We start from the raw sequence: 20502 nt of genomic DNA on the forward strand, positions 1-20502 counted from the left end.
TAGCAGATGTACAAAGAAGAGCTGGTACCATCCCTGCTGAAACTATTTCAAAAAATTGAGGAGAAGGAAATGCTCCCTAACTCATCCTATGAAGCCAGCATCATTCTGATACCAAAACCTGGCAGAGATACAACAAAAAAAGAAAACTTTAGGCCAATATCCTTGATGAACATTGATGCAAAAGTCGTCAACAAAACATTAGCAAACCAAATCCAGTGGCACATAAAAAACCTAACTCACCACAGTCAAGTAGGCTTTCTCTTTGGGATGCAAGATTGGTTCAACATATACAAATCAATAAATGTGATTCATCATATAAACAGAACTAAAGACAAAAACCACATGATTATCTCAATAGATACAGAAAAGGCTTTCGATAAAATCAGACATCCATTCATGTTAAAAACTCTCAACAAACTAGGTATTGAAGGAACATACCTCAAAATAATAAGAGCCATATATGAAAAACCCACAGCCAACAATCATACTGAATGGGCATAAGCTGGAAGCATTCCCCTTGAAAAGCGGCATTAAGACAAGGATGGACTCTCTCACCATTCCTGTTTAACATAGTATTGGAAGTCCTGGCAAGGGCAATCAGGCAAGAGAAAGAAATAAAGGTCATCCAAATAGGAAGAGAGGAAGTCAAACTACCCCTGTTTGCAGATGACATGATCCTGTATCTAGAAAACCCCATAGCCTCAGCCCAAAAGCTTCTCAGGCTGATAAGCAACTTCAGCAAAGTCTCAGGATACAAAAGCAATGTGCAAAAATCCCTAGCATTCCTATATACCAACAACAGTCAAGCCGAGAGCCAAATCGGGAACTAACTCCCATTCACAACTGCCACAAAAAGAATAAACTACATAGGAAGACAGCAAACTAGGGAGGTGAAAGATCTCCACAAAGAGAACTACAAAACACTGCTCAAAGAAATCAGAGATGACATAAAGAAATGGGAAAACATTCCATGCTCAGGGATAGAAATAATCAATATCATTAAAATGAGGCTGGGCACTGTGGCTCACGCCTGTAAACCCAGCACTTTGAGAGGATCACTTGAGGTCAGGAGTTTCAGATCAGCCTGGCCAACACGGTGAAACCCCCATCTCTACTACAAATACAAAATTAGCTGGGCATGGTGGCGCATGCCTGTAATCCCAGTTACTTAGGAGGGTGAGGCAGGAAAATCACTTGAACTCAGGAGGCGGAGGTTGCAGTGAGCTGAGATTGTGTCACTGCACTCCAGCCTGGGCAACAGAGCAAGACTCCATCTCAAAAAAATAATAATAAAAAATAAAAAAATAATATATAAACACACACACACAAACACACATCATTAAAATGGCCATACTGCCCAAAGTAATTTATAGATTCAATGCTATTCTTACTAAAACTACTATTTGAGATTCGGCACAGAACTAGAAAAAACTATTTTGAAATTCATATGGAACCAAAAAAGAGCCCGAATAGCCAAGGCAATCCTAAGCAAAAAGAACAAAGCTGGTGGCATCACACTACCCGACTTCAAAATACACTACAGGGCTACAGTAACCAAAACAGCATGGTTATGATACAAAAAAAGACATACAGACAAATGAAACAGAATAAAGAACTCAGAAATAAGACCACACAACTACAACTATATGATCTTTGACAAACCTGACAATAACAGGCAATGGAAAGGAAAAAGGATTCCCCATTCAATAAATGGTGCTGGGATAACCAGCTAGCCATATGCGGAAGATTGAAACTGGACCCCTCCCTTATTATCATGTTCAAAAATTTAACTCAAGATGGATTAAAGGCCTAAATGTAAAACCCAAAAATATAAAAACCCTGGAAGACAACCTAGGCAATACCATCCAGGACATAGGCAAAGATTTCACGACAAAGACACCCAAAGCAATCACAACAAAAGCAAAAATTGGCAAATGGGATCTAGTAAAATCAAAGAGCTTCTGTACAGCAAAAGAAACTATCAAGAGAGTAAATAGATAACTTACAAAATGAAAGAACATTTTTGAACAAACTATGCATCCAATAAAGGTCTAATATCCAGCAGCTATAAGGAACTTAAACAGATCTACAAGAAAAAAAAAACAAACAACCCCATTAAAAAATGGGCAAAGGACATGAACAGATACTTTTCAAAAGAAGACCTACATGTGGCCAGCAAGAATATGAAAAAAAGTTCAACATCACTGATCATTACAGAAATGCAAATCAAAACCACAATGAGATACCATGTTACACCAGTCAGAATGACTATTATTAAAAAGTCAAAAAAAAAAAAACAGATGCTGGCAAGGTTGTGAAGAAAAAGGAATGCTTATATACTGTTGGTGGGAGTGTAAATTAGTTCAACCATTGTGGAAGATAGTGTGGCAATTCCTCAAAGACCTAGAGACCTAGAGACAGAAATACCATTCAACCTAGCAATCTCATTACTGGATATATACCCAAAGGAATATAAATTGTTCTATTATAAAGACACATGCATGCTTATGTTCTTTGTAACTAGCACTCTTCATAATAGCAAAGACATGGCATCAACCTAAATGCCCATCAATGATAGACTGGATAATGAAAATGTGGTACATATACACAATGGAATACTATGCAGCCACAAAAAAGAACAAAGTCATGTCCTTTGCAGAGACATGGATGGAGCTGGAGGCTATTGTCCTTAGCAAACTAACACAGGAACAGAAAACCAAATACTGCATGTTCTCACTTATAACTGGGAGCTAAATGATGAGGACACATGGACACACAGAGTGAACAACACACACTGGGGCCTATCAGAAGGTGGAAGGTGGAAGGAGGGAGAGGATCAGGAAAAATAACTAATGGGTACTAGGCTTAATACCTGGGTGATAAAATAATCTGCACAACAAACCCCCATGACACAAGTTTACCCATGTAACAAACCTGCACATGTACCTCTGAACTTAAAATAAAAGTTAAAAATAAATAAATAAATAAATAATAAAAACATCAGTCATCTAAAAAACAAAAGTTTAAAATTTTCCCATTATAATTAAATTTTATATTAAAAACAAAGGCAATAAATACAAAAAAAAATAACTATGTCTTGAAGTCAAAGGTAGAACAGAGTGGTTGGAGCTGAAGGGCCTGAATTCAAACCTGTTTTATCCCCACTGCTACTCCGTTACCTCTTGCACAGACTTGCTCCCCACTGGTCTCCTTGTCTTAGTTTTCTCCCCTGTTCTAGTCTATGCTACATACAGTTGACAAGGTACCTTACTTTAAAACAAAAGTAAAACAAGCTGATCATACTGCTCTCCTAGTTAAACAAAAATACTCTAACAGCTCTCCATTACCCAAAGGAAAAGCTCTTAACTGCTTCATATCGCATACAAGTTATTTCAGAGTCTACCTTGTTACCCGTATCTCTGATTACTCTCCATCTCATACCTTAAATTTCCAGACACACTCAGCTTTGCTAGGTCTTGGGAATTGAAAGTATGTATTTGGAGTTCATAAATGTTCACTGAACCATTTAAGAAAAGTGCTTGTTTACAAACAAATGAAACTAAATACAGACTTAGAACTGCAACATATGAGAAACAAAAAAAAAAATTCTTTACATGTACTCCTTTAAGGTATGGCGCCTATGTGGAAACTTTTATAGGGAGTAGCGTTCCTACACCTGGCTGTGCATGAGAGCCACCTGTGACCCAAGCCCACACTCCTTTGAGGTTCTGATTCAGTAGGTTTTTAAAAGCTCTACCGGTGACTCTGACATAGACCCAGAGTTAAGCTTCACTCTACCAGTGAATAGACTGTATATCCTTCAGGGGAAAAAAAAAAAACTCTCTCTCTCTCTCTTTTTTTTTCTGAAGCAGAATCTCATTCTGCCACCTAGGCTGGAGTGCAGTGGCACCATGTCGGCTCACAGCAATGTCTGCCTCCTGGGTTCGAGTGATTCTCGTGCCTCAACCTCCCAAGTAGCTGGGATTACAGGCCTGTGTCACCACGCCCAGCTAATTTTTGTAGTTTTGGTAGAGATGGGGTTTTGCCATGTTGACCAGGCTTGTCTTGAACTCCTGGCCTCATGTGTTCTGCCTGCCTCAGCTTCCAAAAGTGCTGAGACTATAGGTGTGAACCACCATGCCCGCCAAAAAAAAATTCTTTAAATATGAATGTTCTCATTCAAAATTTTGAAAAGTGTTAAGTAACAATGAATTGACGATTATGTTCACTGAAAAGCATACAAAAAAATGTACATTTTTCTTGCCATACACACTAATCAGCAATGCTAAGGGTAGAAGTGACAACTCATGAAAATTAGGAATTCTAACCTGGGCAGCCACCTGAAAACACAGCCCTATCTCTCCATAAGAGTAAGTCAAGAGAAAACTTTGGCAAAACGTAAAATTCTCTTCAAAAAAATAATTCATGGCCCATCTAACACCCACGTAAGTAGATGGATCCAAGTCCAACACCTCTATAACATAAAACATGGCCTCACTAACTTTAACCCAGCAAAGTATTTAAGCAACTAGAACTAAACAGCCACATGCATTCACTGACCCTCTACTCGGGCCAGGCATTTCACCAGATGTTCAGTATGCACTAGTGAAACACACATTCACAATTTGGACCCTCATACCGAATACACTAGCATGAATATACAGGAATTAAGGAAGTAAACTCACAAATAAATATGATTACTAACCATGGCAAGAAAAGAAGAAAGGGTGCTATAAGATAAACTGGCTGTGACTTTATTTTGTATTCACCATTTCTGCAAATAAAATTGCTCCTAGTTCATATGAAGGAATGGAATGCATTCATATTCCATGGTAGCCTCTGAGACTTGGAAGGCACTGGAGTATGTGAAAAACCTTTGAAAGCAGATAAGTGAGCTTTAACAATAAAATGTCCTTTCTCCACTGAACTGCTGTGAATTACAAAATCCACAGATTGGAAAAGAAAGAAATGCTTAAACTCCAGAGTTCATATGTATACAGTGGCCATCCTCTGACACTTTCTAAGTCAGCACCTTTTATACTGTAAAGCACTTATTACATCCTGCAAGGACTTTGTCATTGACTTTTATCTGCCTCCCCCAGAAGAACAGAAGCTCCATAAAGATAGGTACCAATCTGTCTCGCTTTCCATTTTATCCTCAGTAGCTCTCTTCTCCTATATACAAACTAAAGAAGCAGGCCGGGCACGGTGGCTCATGCCTGTAATCCCAGCACTTTGGGAGGCCGAGGCAGGCGAATCATGAGGTCAAGAGATCGAGACCATCCTGGCCAACATGGTGAAACCCTGTCTCTACTAAAAATACAAAAAAAATTAGCTGGGCGTGGTGGCAGGGGCCTATAATCCCAGCTACTCAGGAGGCTGGGGCAGGAGAATCGCTTGAACCCGGGAGGCAGAGGTTGCAGAGAGACGAGATCGTGCCACTGCACTCCTGCCTGGCAGAAGAGTGAGGCTCCGCCTCAAAAAAAAAAAGAAAAATTAAAATTAAAAAATAAAGAAAGAAAGAAAAGAACCAACGAATAAATAAATCACACAAAAAACTAAGACAGGACCTAATTTAGGACTCTCCAAGGGAATAATATTTAAGCTAAGATGCAAAACTTAACGAGAAGTTAGCCAGATAACTAAGCACTAAGAACTGCCCTGCAAAGGCCCTGAAAGACAGAACAAATCACGGTCAAAGAACTGAAAGATTAGCGGGCCCAGGATAAAGTGAGTAAAGGATACAGTAGAACATAATGGAGTTGCATATGTAGGCAGAAGCCTGACCATGAAGGGCCTCAAAACCAAGGTAAAGAGACTGGGCTTTATTTGAAATACAGAAAAAAAAATCAGTGAAGAATTTTAAGCAGACGAATAACATGATGTAAAGTTTCTGTGGTTGCTGAATGAAAGCTAGATTGTAGGGAAGCAAATGTGAATACAGAGAGACCAATTAAAAAGTAATGTTAGTCCATGCAGAGATTATAGTAAGCATATCTTTTTATTTTCTGTATTCTTGATGCTTTGGTATCTGGGACCTTGCTAAAACTGAAGCGACTGCCCCTCTCAGGGTAAGCTAATTCCTAGAGACAGCAAACTAACTCCCATGGAAGGATGTCTTTCATATGCACACCAACCTATCTAAAGCCCAAACCTCCAACCACCTCTATGGTTACACTCTAGGGTCAACTTTTCACCTGCCCAAATTGCCCCAGGGCCAGGTACCAGACAACCAGAGAAAGCCCTATGCCCCAGAACCCACTCAAAATACTCAAAGTAGCCAATCCTAAACCTGTTTACCCTATCTCACCTGTCCCTTCCCAGGGAAACCACACAAACATTCTTGTCCACTTCTTCCCCCCTCTTTCTCTGCCTCCTAACTGACTCTGGTACTTCCCCGTGGAGCCCCTGTGACACAGCACGCCTCCTTCTCTTGTGAGCTGTATATATAACAATATATCTTTTCCATAGCAATAGTCTCTTGATCTGTTGGCCTCATGATATGTGAGTAATAATAAAGCATACTTTTTTTTTTTGAGACAGAGTCTCGCTCTGTCGCCCAGGCTAGAGTGCATTGGCGCGATCTCGGCTCACTGCAACCTCTGCCTCCCGGGTTCAAGCGATTCGCCTGCCTCAGCCTCCTGAGTAGCTGGGATTACAGGCACCCGCCACCATGCCCGGCTAATTTTTGTATTTAGTAGAGATGGGGTTTCACCAGGTCAGGAGTTCGAGACCAGCCTGACCAACATGGTGAAACCCTGTCTCTACTAAAGATATAAAAAATTAGCCGGGCCTGGTGGCATGCACCTGTAATCCCAGCTACTCAGGAGGCTGAGGCAGGAGAATCTCTTGAACCCGGGAGGCAGAGGTTGCAGTGAGCCGAGGTCGCGCCATTGCATTCCAGCCTGGGCAACAGGGCGAGACTCCATCTCAAAGAAAAAAAAAAAAAAAAAAGCCTACCAATAGGCTCAGACAGTTCAAGACCTGAGACTTCTAAACTCAAGTCTATTTCCATTAACACAGATATGCATTCAAATTCACATTTATTTATCTTTTTTTTTAAGTAATTCAAACAACAAATATTCACTGAACAAGCCTACTAGCAGAAGCTAGGGAGAAAAATGGAAAAACATTAGACTAGTGACAAAGAAGAAAGGGCAGTCCAGGCAATGGGGAACCCCTGAAGAAATTTATATAAGGAAATAATACAATCAAACTAGCATTTAAACATTATCCTGAGCAGGATTGTCAAGGATCAAACATGATGTTGTTCATTCTAGCCAGCAAGTTAACTAACTACAATTATTTAGATGTTCTAACATCTGTTTTTAAACCAGCATGTTGATTATTAAAGGTTAGGGAAGAAGGGGAGAGAGTTTCACTCAAAACACTGTAACACTCTAGTGTTATATACAGGCAAATCTATAAGATATTGCAGGTTTGATTCCAGACCACCTGGATAAAGCAAATATCACAATACAGTGAGTCACACAAATTTTTGTTTTCCAGAAAGAAACCTTGGATCAGGCAGATTCATAGCTGAATTTTGCTAAACGTATAAAGATGAGCTGGTACCAATCCTACTGAAACTATTGCAAGAAAGCTGAGGAAGAGAGACTCCTCCCTAACTCATTCTACGAGGCCAGCATCATTCTGATACCAAAATGTGGCAGAGACAAAATGAAAAAGAAAACTTCAGACCAATATCTCTGATGGACATAAATGCAAAAATTCTCAATAAAAGACCTGCAGACCAAATGCAGCAGTACATCAAAAAACTAATCCACCACGATCAAGTAGGCTTTATTGCTGGGATGTAAGGTTGGTTCAATATACACAAATGAATAAATGTGATTTGCCACATAAACAGAGGAGATTTTGCAAAATTCTTGAGGGTCCTAAGATTTTTGGAATGGGCAATGAACACTGGCTTCAACTTAAAGTCATGAGAGGCATCAGCCCCTAACAAGAGAGTCAGCCTGTCCTTTGAAGCTAAGCAGTGACTTCTCTCTAGCTAGGAAAGTCCTAGATGGCATCTCCTTCCAGTAGAAGGCTGTTTCGTCTACATTGAAAATCTGTTGCTTAATGTAGCCACCTTCATCAATTATCTCAGCTACATCTTCTGGATAACTTGCTGCAGCTTCTATTTCAGCACTTGCTGCTTCATCTTGCACTTTTATGTTATGGAGACAGCTTCTTTGTTTAAGCCTCATGAACCAACCTCTGCTAGCTTCAAACTTTTGTTGCTTCCTCACGTCTCTCAACCTTCATAGAATTGAAGACAGTAAGGGCATTGCTCGAGATTAGGCTTTGGCTTAAGAGAATGCTGTGGCTGGTTTGAACTTCTATCCAGACCACTCAAACTGTCTCCATATCAGCAATGAGGCTCTTCCACTTTCTTACCACTCATGTGCTCACTGGAGTAGCACTTCTAATTTCCTTCAACAACCTGTCCTTTGCATTCAAGCTTGGCTAGCTGTTTGGCACAAGAACCCTAGCTTTCAGCTTATTTCGGCTTTCAACCTGTCTTCCTCACTAAGCTAAATCATTTCTAGCTTTTTTATTTAAAGTGAGAGTTGTGTGACTCTCCCTTTCACTTGAACCCTTACGGACCATTGTAGAATTACTAATTGGCCTAATTTCAATATTGTGTCTCAAGGAATAGGAAAGCCTGAGGAAAGGAAGGGAGATGGGGCCCACGGCCTAGCAGTGGGACAGTCAGAACACACACGACATTTATCAATTTAGTTCACCATCTTACAAAGGTGCAGTTCGTGGCACCTCAAAACAATTACAACAGTAACATCAAAGATCACTGATCACAGATCACCATAACAGATATAATAATAATGAAAACGTCTGAAATATGGGAAGGATTACCAAAACATGACATAGAGACATGAAGCAAGCACAAACTATTGGAAAAATGGTGCTGACGGACTTGATTTGCTCAGTACAGTTGCCACAAACCTTCAATTAAAAAAAAAAAATGCAGCATCTGCAAAGTGAAGAAGTACAACAGAGTAAGGTATACCTGTATATAAATTTTAAGCAATGCAGAAAGTTTTAATTCAGCCATATGCCTAAGAATTTTGACTAAGCCAGTATATGGACTTGCAGGTTGTATCAGAACCCAGCAATTCTATACACAGTCATCCCTCAATATCCATGGCGAACTGGTTCCAGGAACCCCACAGATACCAAAATCCATGAATGCACAAGTTCCTTATATTAAATGGCACAGTATTTGCATATAACTACATACATCCTCCAGTATACTTTAAATCATGTCTAGATTACTTATTACACCTAATACAATGTAAATGCTATCCAAATAATTGTTATACTGCATTGGTTTTTTTTTTTATTGTTTTTTTCTATTGCTTTTTTTCTCCCAATATTTCCAACATGCAGTTAGCTGAATCTGTGGATGCAGAACAAGCAGGATACAGAGGGCTAACTGTAGTTTTGTTACATTTTTTATTTTTATTTTTTAAGAGACAGGGTATCACTCTGTCACCCACGCTAGAGTGCAGTGGCACAATCATAGCTCACTGTAGCTTCAAACTCTTGGGCTCAAGTGATCCTTCCACCTCAGCTTCCCAAGTAACCGCAACTATAAACATGCACACACCCGGACTAATTTTTTTTATTTTTTGTACAGACAGGGTCTCACTACGTTATCCAGGCTGCTCTCAAATTCCTGGCTTCAAGTGACCCTCCTGCTTTGGCCTCCCAAAGCACTGGAATTACAGGCGTGAGCCACTGTGCCTGGCTAGTTTTGTCTCTTTTAAAGAGGAGTAAGCAGCTATGTCTTTGAAAATTTCACTGGGTGGAAGAACCAGGAAAACACAAAGGAAATTACAGACTACACCAGGAAGCAGAGGTGAAATATGATGCCTTAATAACTAGCATGCCAATCATGAGCCACATTCTATGCCTTTCTCTTATGCATCTTCTCTCCATTTCATCCTCCTGTCTCATTAATTTTTTCCTTCCCCTATTTAACGCCTTCAATCCAATAAAATGACGTATCTTGTTCTCGTTTTCTTTTTTTTGAGGGGGTGGGGGGCTTCTGGGCTTCCTCTCATCTCATACCTAATGATCACATCCTTTCCATTTCCATCTTCACTTTACAGCTCCCTACACTCTTTATCCTAATGGTCCTCCTCTAGTATCACAACTCAAAATAGAAAGAGTATTAAAAAAAAATGAGAAAAACCAAAGGGGAAAAATGGAAAAAGGACTACATACTCCTATCTAATTGTACCTTACTTAAACACTATGCATGATACAAATTATACGGACTGAATCATTACGTTTAAGCTTCTTATAAAAATCCAAATGTTCTATTCATAACACCCAAAATATGGAATCAATCTAAGTGTCCATCAACAACATCATATAATTAAATAAAGAAAATGGAATACTATTTGAAAATACTGCTTGAAAGGTGACTTTTTCTTTTTTTTTTTTTTTGAGACAGGGTCTGGCTCTATCACCCAGGCTGGAGTGCAGTGGCATGATCTCAGGTCATTGTAACCTCTGCTTCCTGGGCTCAAGCAATCCTCCCAACCTCAGCCTCCCAAGTAGCTGGGACTACAGGCACGTGCCACCATGCCTGGTGAATTTTTGTATTTTTTTTAGAGAGAGAGTTTTGCCATGTTGTTCAGGCTGGTCTTGAACTCCTGAGTTCAAGCAATCTGCCCACCTCGGCCTCCCAAAGTGCAAGGATTATAGGCATGAGCCACCACATACAATCAAAAGGTGACTTTTTAAATAGTAACTTGAATTTCATTCTAATTGAAGAAAACCATATATAGCTAAAGGTATACTTTTTAAAAGTCTTCCTAATATGAGCATGTGATAATTAAAATACTAAAGAAATGGCTATTTTTAATTACATCATTTTCATCAACATCTTACTATAATCTTAGTAGTGTTCTATAACTTAGTATGGTAATACAGTGTTTTTACAAAGGCAATGTGGATATTCTATTAAAACTGAGCTGTTTCCAGCATAAATCTCAATCACACAGCAATTTATTTCTTGGCCCACCCAAAACTGAATATACAAATTGCCAAAGTTCAAATTGCTGATACAAATTGCCAAAGTTCATCAATAATCCTCCAACATGGTGATTTTGAAACTTTTGATTTTTTATTTATTTATTTATTTATTTATTTGCCTCAGAAACAGTGTTCAAATGGAATCTTATCTAGAAACATGAGGAAATAGAACAGGTAAGAATGTAGAATACTCTGGTAGAAGCCAAGGGGTGCTCAGTGACACCCTGAACAGGCCAGCTGAAAATGCTCTATTTCACCATAAGAGTTATCTCTTCTCTTTGCCCAGCAAATCTAACTCATCAATCAGGACTCAGCTGAGGTATGACCTCCCTGGGAAAACTTTCCCTGAACCTCCAAACATGAGGTGTTAGATATCTCTTCCAACCCACATACTTCCCCATATCTATCCCATCACAGCTGTTACCACACTGTGTACTGAAACAGCCTACCCATTCGTCTGTTTCTTCCAGCTGAGTGAAAGTCTCTCTAAAGCCTCAAACCCATTCTTTTTTGTTTCTTTTTTTTGTTTTGTTTTGTTTTTGAGATGGAGTCTCACTCTGTCACCCAGACTGGAGTGCAATGGCACAGTCTTGGCTCACTGCAACCTCTACCTCTCGGGTTCAAGTGATTCTCCTGCCTCAGCCTCCCCAGTAGCTGGGATTACAGGTGCCTGCCACCACGCTCAGCTAATTTTTGTATTTTTAGTAGAGACGGGGTTTCACCATGTTTGCCAGGCTGGTCTCAAACTTCTGACCTTGTGATCCACCCGCCTCAGCCTCCCAAAGTGCTGGGATTACAGGCGTGAGCCATGGCACCCGGCCGAGACCCATTCTTTGTTGTATCTCTTGTGAGAGCACATCAGGCCTACACTTAGGAGTAGGTGGTACTCAATACATACTAGTTGAACAGGTAAAAAGGGGATAAGTGTGTGCCCTGATTCATAACAACATATTTATCTTTGTTTAGATATGAAAAGTTCCTTCTCTGCATATAAGCACCAGGAGGGTAGGGACTATGTCAGTTGTGATTACCTTGTGTACATATTACCTGCCACATAGTATTGCTAACCAGCTGTTGCCTCTACTCCTAGGAATGCCTTGAGAGTGCTTCACTTTGAACTGTTGGAATCTTTTTACAGGCATTGCTTTCTTCAACACTGGCCCTGAAGTAGGGTAAATGTGGGTTCTTATTGCATCTCAGTCACTAACTAGCAGTGTGATTTTGGGCAATTCATGTAAAAGCTCTAGGTCTCATTTTCTGTATCTGCAAAATTGTTTTTAAATATGCTTTAGCACTAGAAGACTTTTCCTCAAATAAAAATTTCAAAAGAGTCCCATATATAAAAAAGATAAAAGCAATAATGAGGTTCTCATTCTACTCAATTCTTCAGTGAAGAAAATGCCCCTAGAAGTACCTTCTTAGAGCAGGGTATGATTTGAAAACACTAAACTAGCTGACCCACAGAAGTTGAATCTAGCACTAATATTCTATGATTTATCCATTTAATAAATACTCATTAAATGTATACTCTGTACCTGGTACTGAACTAGGCACTGCACATTCAGCAATAAACAAAGCAGATGGGCTCCCTGAGATATTTATGCTAACATGTAGTATTCAGCCCATTATTAAATATTCACTTAAAATGAACAAAAAAAGATTAAAACACCACCTCTGGTCCTTTTATAGAGTATAGAAAACAAGACAATTTACCAAATTCACAAATAGCTGAATGTATTAAGAAAATAGTTAAATTTCAGAAATGCATATCTCATTTTCCCTATCAAAATTTCAGTGTATTATTTGGGAATTTTTCAATTCATACTGTTTTCTTCCAATCATTTTTATGCTAATTTCTTAATAACACATTTACATTAATACTAGTTATTGGTAGCTAAAATCTAAGTTTCTCCCTGTCATTTCCTAATTGTTTTTCTTTTTCTTTTTTTTTTCTTTTTGAGACAGAGTCTCACTCTGTCACCCAGGCTGGAGTTCAGTGGTACAATCTCAGCTCACTGCACCTTCCGCCTTCCAGGTTAAAGTGATTCTCCTGCCTCAGCCTCCCAAGTAGTTAGAATTACAGTCACCTGCCACCACGTCCAGCTAATTTTTATATCTATTTAGTAGAAATGGAGTTTTGCCATGTTGGCCAGGCTGGTGTTGAACTCCTGACCTCAGATGATCCACCCACCTCCGCCTCCCAAAGTGCTGAGATTACAGGCGTGAGCCACCATGCCCGGCCCTAATTTATTTTTTACTAGTCCTATCTTTTAGCATTTTAGGATCTTTTAACCAACTAATTTTTTGATCCTTCGCAACTTCATACTTACAATATGAATTTGACAGTAAAATCTTAAAAGGCAGAAACCATTTTTCATCAATATTTGCCTCAGCATTTATTTCATTCAACAAATATTTGAGAAGTACCTACTATGTGCAAGGCATTCTGCTATAAAGTGGTACAAAAGTTCTAGAATTCTATAACATTTCCTTCTCATTGTATTCTTTACTTTTCTTTCCCTTTAAAAGCTTAAAGTGCATAACAAGAATAAGTACCTGATTTCCCTGGGGTTCCCTCAATCTGTAATGCTCTTCCTTGTACTCCTCATACATACCACACCCTTTCATTCATTCATCAAAAAGTATACTGCTAGGCGCTGAACAGGTGCTAATAAAGAAAAATATATGGTTCCTTTCCTTAAGGAATGAAGAGAAGAATAAAGATAGTGATGACATTTCAGAAGGAAAATCTACAAGACTCAGTATCATCTGAAGTATCATAAAAAGGAATAAAGATGATTCTCAGCCTTGCTAAAAGACTAAGTAGATGATGATGCCTTTGATACACAGGAATTTGAAAGGCTTGTCTGGAATGTTTAAAACTGGTTTTAGAATGTTAAATGTGTAATTCCCTCTGGATAGTCTAGTTGAGTTGCCCAAACAGAAATTATTAAATAGAAGTACTCATTAGTATCTGAGTAACCATTATGTGGCAGGATCCAAGGACACTGAGTAAAATACAATCCCCGAACTCAAGGAACTTAAGACTTAGATGATAGAGAATACAAGTAAACAGGCACTTAAAAGAGAAACTCAGGTAAGAGACTGGAGGTGTAAGCACTAGATGGAACATGAAGGACCTTGTATGCCACTCTTAGGAGACTGGATTTCTCGAGGCAATGGGGAACCATGGGTTTTAAACAGGGAATGCTTGATTACATTTGCATTTTGGAAAGAACGCTCTAGCTTCAAGGAAGATAATGGGTTGGAGGAGGCAAACAAAGTGAACAAATAAGATGCTGTTGCAGAAATCTGAACAAGATTTGAGGGAAGAGATATGTAATAGTAATATTTGAGACCCTGACTTTCCTAGACAACACTCAAAGTACAATGCTAATCCTTGAACTATTTTTAACCATAATAACAAAATAATACTCGCATCAGGCAAGTATAAAGCATACCTGGTGGCCGAGCACTATGCTATCTCATCTCTTATTCTATATCAAATTGTGGGAACCACAGTTGAGGAATGTATCTTTTTTTTTCCTATAACCACTTGAATTTCACATGCTATGGGAAATATGTAACATAATTTAAATATACAGCATATTCTAAAGAAAAGCAAAATTGAACAGATCCAAGCAGCAAAGTTCCTCTAGGATTATGCAATCACTTCATTAGCCAAAAAGCTTACAATCTATAGATCCTATGTATTGTTAGGAGTGAAAGCTTTCCATAAATCTCTAATTACAGGGCCCTGAATTGATAAGGGGAGACAATGTGCCCAGACTACCCTGTGTCACCAGCTCTAAGTCACACGAGACAATTTTTACAAATAAGACTGAAGTTGAAGGTTTCTGGGAAAGCCCCTTCCCTGCTTCTTCTTTTCTTCCTCCTGCCTGGAATGTAGACATAAAGCTGGGGCTGTAGCAGCCCTGTTGTAGCCATGAGATAATAAGCATGAGGACAAAGCACATGCTAACGATGAGAGAGTACAAGAAAAGAAGACTGAGACATGGCTGTTCCTTTGTTGCTGCTGTACTAGCAGACTTTTTGTTAAGGGAGAATAATAAATCCCTCTGTGGTTAAGTAACTTTAGGCTAAACATAGTCATAATTTATATACTCTGAATCCCTTATAGAATAAAGCCTAGGCTACTTCACATTGCATAAGATGCTTCTCACCATCAGCTCCATTTAACTATCCAACCTCATTTCATTCTGTTCTCTGTCCCATACTTTCCATTCCAATAATTCTAAATCTTGTCAGATGAGCACACCCCAATGAGTTGTTTTTACCTTTCTACCTGTCATCCCCTTGACTCTCCCTTATCACTCCATTTCTTCACCCAATTAACTCTTCGTCAGCATTCCAGATTTCCTGGCTCCACTGGCTGAGGAAGATGCCCTGCCTTCTTCTTTTCACATTACCCCATGCACCAGTCACTACAATGAGTGTGCTATATTACAGCTATTTATTTATATATTTGTCTTCCCAACTACACTACTGACCCCTCAAAAAGAAAAAAGTATCTTAGTTCTTTTGGCATTCTTAGATCCTGGCACAGTACCGGGTCAACTGGGGATGCTCAGTGAATGTTGAATGAATTAGATTTACATAAAACATGACTTCTTAATTAGTAAAAGTGATTACATAATACAGACTGTTAAATGACCCCTTTAACATCAAAAACTCATTCTCATCCATAAATTTGTCCTAAAAAAGTCCAGGCTATAGTGCAGTGCTGCAATCATAGCTAACTGTGGCCCTGAACTCCTGGGCTCAAACAATCCTCCCGCCTCAGCTTCCCAAGTAGCTAGAACTACAAGTCCAAGCTACCACCTGGATAATTTTTTCTTTTTTGGTAGAGAAAGGGTCTCACTATGTTGCTCAGACTGGCCTTGAACTCCTGGGCTCCTTTACCCTCGATGCTCTGGCCTCTCTAAGGGTTGAGATTACAGGCGTGATCTACCACATCCAGCCTCATTTCTGCTTTTAAGCAGAAAAGCTGCAAAGAGCTGTAAGTCCTAAAGACACTTGACAAAGCCATCCTCATCTGCCTTAAAGGATTAATCTCACTTCCAATGGGAAGTCAGAAATGAAAACTAGGCCAGGCATGGTAGCTCACGCCTGTAATCCCAGCACTTTGGGAGGCCAAGGCGGGTGGATCACCTGAGGTCAGGAGTTCGAGATCAGCCTGACCAACATGGAGAAACCCATCTCTACTAAAAATACAAAATTAGCCAGGCATGGTGGCACATGACTGTAATCCCAGATACTCAGGGGGCTGAGGCAGGAGAATCGCTTGAACCCAGAAAGCGGAGGTTGTGGTGAGCCGAGATGGCGCCATTGCACTCCAGCCTGGGCAACAACGGCAAAACCCTGTCTCAAAAAAAAGAAAAGAAAAAGAAATGAAAACTAAACAGATGATCAAAGAATAAATTTTGTTATATTTTATTAGCAAAACTCGTCAAAACAAGGGTAAGCAAAGAAATAAAATCTCTTCATACCTGTCACATTGCTGCATTATGGAAATTTCTTTGATTATTTCCTGAAGATCTGATTCAACAGGTACTTGTTTAATTGCGACAACTTGACCGGATTCCTTGTGTATTGCTTTAAATACACTTCCATAAGACCTAAAAGAAACCAAGACATTATTTTTTTCCTATCAAACATCGTAACTATAAGATTAAAAGTCTACTATGAGTTTTCTGTGGATAGTCTTTTCTAGTTTAAAACACTATTTAAATGATTAAAAAATCAAAGTAAACAAGTAACAATTTTAAAAGGTAATGAATTATATCTTAGCTTTATTGCTTCAACTACAGACTTAAAATAGTCAAGTTAACATATAATGAGTAGCTATTTTTCTTATGAATGAAAGAAACAGACTTGCGTTTGGTCAACTCAAACAAATGCAGCATTAAGAAGATATAAATGGAAATTAAAAGAATGAAATGTAGATTAAAAATAGCCAAAGCCTCAAATTAGGAGAAAAGGCTGATCTCAAGGAAAATGACCCCCAGAATATCAAAAAGTCACACTTCTGTTCAGAGTACCTTAACAGTTAAAACCCTCAGCTGGGGACCATATTAACATCAAAGTTAGAGAAGCAAGGAATCTGCAGCCATCTGCTTCTACCTGATTTACAGATCCAAGGTCTCTTTTTAAAAAGTTCCTTTCATTACCTTTTCCTCAAGAGAAAAACTACAAACTCACAGGTAAATAAAATGAGGAACAGGGTCTAATAGTCACTTGCCCAAAACCTGTCTCTGCTACAACTCCTGAAACTTTGCCAACTGAATATTCACGTGTTTTAAAAAGCAAAAACAAAGAAGGAAGAAGCCATTTGTACCTTAGTATGAACTTAAAAACGAGGTTAAACACTACTATGTACTGAGTTCTTACTATAAACCAGGTCCTATGCTAGGTGTTTTACATGCATTATGAAATTCAACCCTCACAATCATAAGGAAAAACACTATTATCGTCATTAAAAGATGAGAAACAGACCAGTAGGGCCAGAATTCAAACACATTCCCACCCCAAAAATCAGGTTTTTCTCACCATATTTTTCTACAGAAGAGAAACAAGAGCAAGCCAATGGAAAACATCGAATGTTTCCTAATATTAGAAATCTATGCAGAAGCCCTTCCAAATTTATAATCTTTTAAAATAAGTGAAAAAGAGACAAATAAGTGATAACGCGGCTACTTCAATAAAATACATTTTATCCTCTCCTCTGTTTCTTTGGGCTCTCTGAAGTCATTTAATTTGGTTTGGTACCCAAAGTCACATTGGGCTGGGTGTGGGGGAATGTATGTGTGTGTATCTCCCCTTGAAAGCCATATGTGTGTATGTGTGTATATTCCCTCAAAAGCTAACATAGAATTCAGTGCTAGATCATCTACTGTCAATTAGGCAACACCATCACTCCTTTCTAAGGACTCCTCAGCACTACGAAAGAGAAGCTGCAATCCCCACTTCCCAGAATCCCCTTCCCTGAATGGTTCCTCATTAAAAGTCTGCCAGTGAGAAAAACACGTATGTGTGAATGACGAAAGGAGAAACCATTTTTCTCCAGATACAGTTGTAGCAGATGGACTGACAGATATGAAGTGCACAGCAGCTTCCTGCTGAGCTTCCAACAGCCACCACTGCTGCAGACTGAGGTAGTTGGTGGGAGTTTCTCAAGACTGCAGGATTCCAGCAGATTCCCAGAGAGCTTTTGAGAAACACCCACTTCAGTGCTTCAGGCTGAGATCTTCAATGCTGACTTCGACCTTCAACCTTTGGCAACAGTTTTCATGAACTTTGCATCCCTGGCCCCTCCACAATTCATTTGAGCTCCTAACTTCATTACTAAATTCTTCATATCTATAGAGTACATACAGTAGCTTATCTTTTCCTTGATAGCAATATAGTTTTTGGTAGAAGAAGTGTTTCCAAGGGAAAGAATCTTAAAGATGAGAATCTTGAATTAGTTCTTTCTTAGATGTTGATATGGTTTGGCTATGTCCCACCCGAATCTCATCTTGTAGCTCCCATAATTCCCACCTGTTGTGGTAGGGACTCAGTGGGAGATGACTGAATCATGGGGGCAGGTCTTTCCCATGCTGTTCTCATGATAGTGAATGGGTCTCACAAGATCTGATGGTTTTAAAAATGGGAGTTTGTCTGCACAAGCTCTCTCTTTGCCCGCTGCCATCCATGTACGATGTGACCTGATCTTCCTTGCCTTCCACCATGATTGTGAGGCCTCCCTACCCACGTGGAACTATAAGTCAATTAAACCTCTTTCTTTCGTAAATTGCCCAGTCCCAGGTATGTCTTTACCAACAGTGTGAAAACAGACTAATACAGATGTGTAGACAGTAATGACTTCAATACAAGTAACAAATAGTATACTGATGGTCTATGGCATTCAGTGGCAAACAGTTATTTAAATTATCACCCTTAGTTGCCTGGAGTCTAAGCAAAGCTTTAAAAGACCAAGTAGCTGTATCAATACAATGTATGGTGAAAATAAAGTATAAGGACTATAGAATGGGCTGCTGCCTCTGCCTGCACTGGAAAAGTTATAGAACAAACACAGCAAGCTAAAGGCTTAAATGTCCAGCTCAAGACTGAGAGAACCAGAAAACTTCTGAATTTCTTAATTCTTACAGAAACAGGGTTGAGATTTCTGAAAAACAAACTCTAGGTATAGTCTTACTGGAAGTTGAATTACATTTCAAGTTGAATTCACATCAGCACCAGGTCTGTTATGTTAAAGTTAAGGTATCTAACAATAAAGAGAAGTACCTAGAGAACTGGTATTAGGACATTTAGATAGATTCTCATTAATCTGAGTACCTTGAATCCCCAAATCCTATCAAGCCTCCCTTGATACCAAAAGCAACTCTGCCCTCCTGTCTGAGAAAATTAACCTTACAATGCCTGAAGACTCTATCTACCTCCTGAGGCAGTCACTTTTCAGCAGCATGCAGTGGTCCTCCAGACCACTCCACCACCACTTATTGCTTCCAGACCCAAAGTTATACTCAACTCCCATAGACACCAGGGAGACAAGTATAAAATTTAACCCAAGCAGCTACTATTCACACTAAAAAAGTTGCAAGATTTTGCCAATTTTTATCAGAACCCTAAAGAATATGTGTGAGAACAAATTCTAAGATTTCCAGAGAGGAAGAAATGTACTGATATGGATGCAAGACCAGAAATTCCAGACTCAGCATGTTAGCTCAAACAGTTGGGGGTGTCCCTAACAGTTGCTCAGCCAGTTAACTGAAACCTGGACTCAAAAGTGGCCCATATTAAGTGAGATGCTAAGTGAGCCTCAGTACACACCAAAGGAAGCATATCAAAGGCTCAAGGAAATGGGATACTAGAATGGATATATATTATAAGTGCCATGCTCACATACTCCCTAACTATGTTGACAAAAAGGGTCCAGAGGATACCAGCATCGACCAAAGCTCTATTAGTGCAGGGGAAAGATGACAAATATGCCAACAGTGAAACTGGCTCCTTGAGTTTAATAGATAACAGGATCCCAGCACAAGAGAAGTGGCAACAGCTATTCACCTGAGACAAAGTGGGAACAGTTACCATAATGAGTAACAAAGCAAGGCTGAATTACAGTTTTCTTTTATTGTACATTTAGGTCTTGATATTAAAGTTACACTAGCTTCATTTAAAAAAAAACTATAATTAACTGTCCTTTAAACACTGTATAAAACAGTGTTTAATACAGTGGAACCTTTCTGGAGGGGAGGAGGTGAAATACACACAACATAAAATTCACTGTTTTAAAGTGTATGATTCAATGGCATTTAGTGCATTCACAATGCTGTACAACCATTATCTGTATGTAGTTCCAAAATATATAGAATCTGCTTTCTGTCTCTACAGATTTATCTATTCTAG

At 39.2% G+C, this 20502-nt stretch overlaps 1 protein-coding gene across 21 annotated transcripts in view, besides 1 other annotated feature; it reads right to left on the reverse strand.

Annotated features, from left to right (window-relative positions):
- STK3 (serine/threonine kinase 3) overlaps positions 1-20502 on the reverse strand; it is a 598636-nt gene that overhangs the window by 406688 nt on the left and 171446 nt on the right. For all 21 annotated transcript variants that reach the window (XR_007060753.1, XR_007060752.1, XR_007060754.1 and 18 more), the window contains one exon: positions 16581-16709. Coding sequence is in view for 17 of the 21 variants with exons in the window: in XM_047422133.1 (XP_047278089.1) it covers positions 16581-16709 (129 nt within the window). In the remaining 4 variants the exon portion in view is untranslated. The remainder of the gene's footprint in view (positions 1-16580; positions 16710-20502) is intronic.
- Positions 18019-18313: an enhancer, noted in NCBI's record as "tiled region #12470; K562 Activating DNase matched - State 5:Enh". NCBI's record gives its function as "activates a minimal TATA promoter and a strong SV40 promoter by Sharpr-MPRA in K562 cells {active_cell/tissue: K562}" and the evidence as "EXISTENCE:reporter gene assay evidence [ECO:0000049][PMID:27701403]".

Source organism: Homo sapiens, chromosome 8, assembly GCF_000001405.40.
Source record: "Homo sapiens chromosome 8, GRCh38.p14 Primary Assembly".
Taxonomy (NCBI): domain Eukaryota; kingdom Metazoa; phylum Chordata; class Mammalia; order Primates; family Hominidae; genus Homo; species Homo sapiens.